The following is a 5209-nucleotide window of genomic DNA, read 5'->3' on the forward strand; positions in this document are numbered from 1 at the left end:
GGCTGGGCGCAGTGGCTCATGCCTATAATCCCAGCACTTTGAGAGGCTAAGGTGGGCGGATCACCTGAGGTCAGGAGTTCAAGACCAGCCTGACCAACATGGAGAAACCCCATGTACACTAAAAATACAAAACTAGCCAGGCATGGTGGCACATGCCTGTAATCCCATCTACTCCGGGGGCTGAGGCAGGAGAATCACTTGAACCTGGGAGGCAGGGGTTGCAGTGAGCTGAGATCGCTCCATTGCATTCCAGCCTGGGCAACAAGAGCAAAACTCTTGCAAAAGAAAAAAAAAAAACCTTTATATTGTATAAACTTTTGTACTGCTTGAATTTTTATCATGTGCACATATTGCTTTTTTAATTAAAAATGGATAGAAATGAAAAACAAAATAATTAACCTACATTTATTGAATATACACCAAATGCAAATCACTGTACTAGGTAGACATTTGCACAGAAAATCATGGAATAGCTGCTTGTTTGGTAATTCATTGGATGAGACAAGTTTGAAAAAATTGATGACAAAACAAAAAATTATAACTTCTGCATTAAACTGAAAAAAAAAATGGTCTGGAAGTTAATGAAGCCTCAAGAGGGTTTCATAAGAAAGAGTATACAGTTACTGCAAGTATGGTAAAAGTTAGGCTTTGAAGATGAGCACTGTCTCTGACTTTGTAGAATCAATGTCACCATATAAAGTGCTTTGTCATCCTTCTAGCCAAGCCTGGAGAGGGTGAGTTAGGCGTTTAGGGAGGCAAACTGGGTTTGTAGCAGCTGTTGCCAGTGCCTTGAGCCCCAACTCTTCGGCCCACCTCTGATTCTAATGGTCTCTGTGCCAGACATTACCATACACCTTGATATCATCACCCACAAAACCTTTGCTTTTCTGCCTAGGAGTCTGTCAAATCTGTGGGAAATCAGCCCTTGGAAGTGCTTGAAAGTTAACATCTCTAAGGACAACTCTCAATCAATGGTGATTGGCGCCAGTGGATAAATACTCTAGCCTCTCTCATGCTTAAGACAGAAAATTCCAGGAGGCATTTGTGAGTTGATCCCACATTGCCTACAGTAGTAGAGAAGTTTCATAATGCAGCCTTTATTAGCCTTTCCTTCTCCCTTACCTCACTCTCCTCCTTCCCTTCCTCCTACTTCCTGAGGTCACTTCCCAAATAAATTATATCCACTCAGATCCTTATTTCCAGCTCTGGTTTTGTGGGTACCCAAACCAAGACAGTGTTTGTTAAAGGAAAAAAAAAAAGCATGCAGTTTTATACTGTTGAATATGCAAAACAATAGAAAATTTCTTTTTGCAACATTATTTCTAGGGGCAGCCTAGATTAATCCTAAATCTCCAATAAAAGTGCTTATGGTGCCTCTCCAGAAGAAAAGATTCTATAGCATAATGGATGGCATTCAATCACAGAGAAAGCCCACTGTGTTAAATGAGGCCTGTTCTAAGAAGGCTAACCTGGAGTTGCTACTGGCAGGAAACATTTCAAATACTCACTAAATTCTCCTTAGTTTCATTTTACCTCGTTATGCTTCATTATGCCCCAAGTAACACAGCAAATAATTCCCTTTGGCCCTTGCTCTTTATTGCCTTCCAAATATGGAACAAAATGCTTACCATTTTCTTCCTCACTGTCTAGTCAAACTTACTCATCACTCCTCCTAATCTTATCTCATTCAGCCATTCTAATTACCCTTCTGTGAATTCCTCCTGGCTGTCTACATGTACCAAGACTTCCGAGCAGAGTCTCATCAGAGAAGTAGGGTATCTAAGACATACTTTATAGAGGCTACAATTTGAATAACAGGAACAAAGAAGAAATAACTCCTTTGTCCACCTTCAAAACTTTTGATACACTGCAAGAGCCTGTAATTTGTAAACCATTTAATCTCACAGGGGGAACCTAGGATTCTCAGAGTCCGCTCCATCAGGGCAACTATTTACAGCAGACTTTCCTCAGATATACTTGTTCACTTTGTGCTACTCCCTTTGATGTAGGTATAATTAAGCTGATTGCAGCCCCAGTTGGCCACTATGTTCAAAGAAAAAACCCAGTAGCAATTCAAAATGATTGCTCTAGCCACGCACTTTTCTCTATTCCTTGCGTACCTTGAGGATGGTTGTATAGCCCCAAGGCACTTGCTGTTAATATTAGGGAAGGTTTGGCCGGGCGCGGTGGCTCACGCCTGTAATCCCAGCACTTTGGGAGGCCGAGGCGGGCGGATCACGAGGTCAAGAGATCGAGACCATCCCGGCTAAAACGGTGAAACCCCGTCTCTACTAAAAATACAAAAAAATTAGCCGGGCGTAGTGGCGGGCGCCTGTAGTCCCAGCTACTTGGGAGGCTGAGGCAGGAGAATGGCGTGAACCCGGGAGGCGGAGCTTGCAGTGAGCCGAGATCCCGCCACTGCACTCCAGCCTGGGCGACAGAGCGAGACTCCGTCTCAAAAAAAAAAAAAAAAAAAATATTAGGGAAGGTTTTATTATTTCGTAAATCTCCATCAGCCCCTTCCTCTCTCTTCGTAGTGGCTTTTTCTAGGACCCCGTCAGTTTCTTTTGACAGTCATCAAGTTGCTTAGGATGCAGAAAAGCCTGCCTGCCATCATTCCCCACATCTGTTCTTGTAACTACATTCTCTTCCACATGTGTTTCCTCTCTGAGGCAGTCGAGTTGCTGAAGCTCAGTGAGCTGAGGTGGATTCTAAATTACGTCCAGACCTATAAGTCAACTAAATAAAGGAAATGTAAGGGGGAAGAAAGTAAATCTTCAATTCTTCTTAGTAATTTTTAACTTCAGAGAAATAAAAGAACACATTGTGATAAGTTTGACATCACTAGATGAAAAAAGGCCATAAGATATATGTTTTCTGAGTATGTGTGATCAGGCTAATGCTTCATGTTAAATATTTCAATCTATATTTGGAAATTTTATGACATTCACTGTGGTAAGTTCTGAGAGCTCATTTGCGGCCAATCTGCACAGCACATGCAAAGGGGTAAGAAATAGAAGTAAAATTTGTGAAGTTGCTTCTCCATACCAGACACATGTCACACATGTTAACTCACTTGATCCTCACTCTAATCTCCTCCCTGTAAATGACCAAACTAAGTATAAGTGACCTGCTCAACTTACTAATTACAACCACAGGCGAAAGAAAGTCTACCCACTTTCCACTTCGTCACACCGCTTCCTGATAACTGTTCTTTGTGGTCACAACCATTATCACAATCAGCATATGTAATTCAGACAGAAGTAGCTACTTCTTCCTAGTTTGTCAATATTAGGAATATGGATTGTTGAATAAGCAAAAAATAAAAAATAACCAGACCTTAAATACTTACCTTCTTTAGAGGAAGGATGGGATCTCATCTTTTGCTTCTTGTTAACTTCCCTGTAATGTTGGGAAACATGTTTCATAAATTCTATTAGGAAGTTGTGGCAGACACTATTCACTGGTTCATGACCCCAACTGTGACTTTAAATCCATTATCCCTAACTGTTTTCATGAGTGGGCACAAAAATCCCTTGTGACCAAGATACATGCCAAAGTTGGCTAACGGATTTCTGAGAAAGCTTTTGATTTTCTGATACAAATGCCACACATTTCCTTCCTTTTCCTTCTTACCTTAAATATGGGTATAATGCTGGAGTCAAAGCAGCTATCTTTTACTCTGAGGGAAAGGCCAAGAAAATCAGAGACGGGCCCTGACACTGTTCCTGAACCTATGGTAGGAAAAATAAACCCTTTTTTCTTTAAGCCACTATAGTTGGCTTTTTGTTATTTATAGCTAAATGCATCACTAACTGATACAAGCACAAAATATTTTACAGTGCAAGTTTAATTCCTTCAAATGAGATAATGTTCTAGCAATAGGTGTCTGTCTGAAATATAATCTAGATTAGTGCTGTCTAATAGGGTTTCTGTGATTTTGGAAATGCTCTGTGTCTATACTGTCTAATATAGTGACCACACATGACGATGGAGCACTTGAAATATGGCTAGTGCAGCTGAGAAACTAGATTTCTGTTCTATTTAATTTTAATTAAATCAACTTTAAATCTAAATAGCCATATGTAGCTAATGGTTGTCATATTGGACAGCACAATCTAGACTTTTGGGTTTTTTGTGTCATGACACATATGTCATGTCTGTGTTTGGAATGAGAGACTGAAAACTTGCATGAATCTACTTGAGGCAAATGAATTATCTTTTATTCAGCCAGAACGCAGAAAACGTAAACAGCAACGACCCAATAATCCCAGTACTTCCAAAAAGTAGCCAAATATTTTAGTAGTTTTTAGACTTCTTTATGCCAGAGACAAATCAGCTAAAAGGTTTCTTGTGATCCTGAACTAAAAGATGGTTAAATCATATGTCTTTTGGATAAAGGAAAATAGTGAATTCTGGGATAAAAACAGCATATTGCCTCATTTTACCAAAAGGGCCTCTCTGAAGTATTGACAAGGCAATAATTACTCTTGAGATACATCAATGAGATAAGTTCATTACATTTCATCCAAGTCATCACCTCTACAAGGACAGTCCTGGGCAAGGCCTACTTTCAGCAAAGAGTGTCTTCTGAGTGTCCTAAACCACTTAATTAGCAAAGTGTCATTCCATATTTAATAGCCTTTCCCCCAATTATATCCACTCCCCACTTTGGCGGTCTATCCTATAACTTTATTCCCTCATTCCCAGAGAATGTTTTAAGGGAGACTTTTAAAAATCAGTATGTTATAGGCTGAATTGTGTACCCCCAAAATTCCTGTGTTGAGGCCCTAAGCACTGGTACCTCAAAATGTAACTGTATTTGGAGATAGAGCCTCTAAAGAAGTAATTAAGGCAAAAGGAGGTTACATGGGTAGGCCTTAATCCACTATGACTGGTTTCCTCATAAGAAGAGATTAGGACACAAACAACACATAGACTGGGGGGTGGGCCATGTGAGGATACAGTGAGAAGTCAGCTTTCTGCAAGCCAAAGAGAGTCTTCAGAAGAAACTAAACTTGCCAACACCTTAGTCTTAGATTTCTAGCCTCCAGAGCTGCAGGGAAATAAATTTCTGTTGTTTAAGCCACCCATTCTATTGTATGGCAGCCCTAGAAAACTAATACACAATATCTACCAACTTTCTCTTGAGCTCTAAAAAGAGGCTCTATTTTGGGAAAATCTAGAGAAAGTTAGATAAGAAAGGAGC

This window comes from Homo sapiens, chromosome 14 (genome assembly GCF_000001405.40).
Source record: "Homo sapiens chromosome 14, GRCh38.p14 Primary Assembly".
Lineage (NCBI taxonomy): Eukaryota > Metazoa > Chordata > Mammalia > Primates > Hominidae > Homo > Homo sapiens.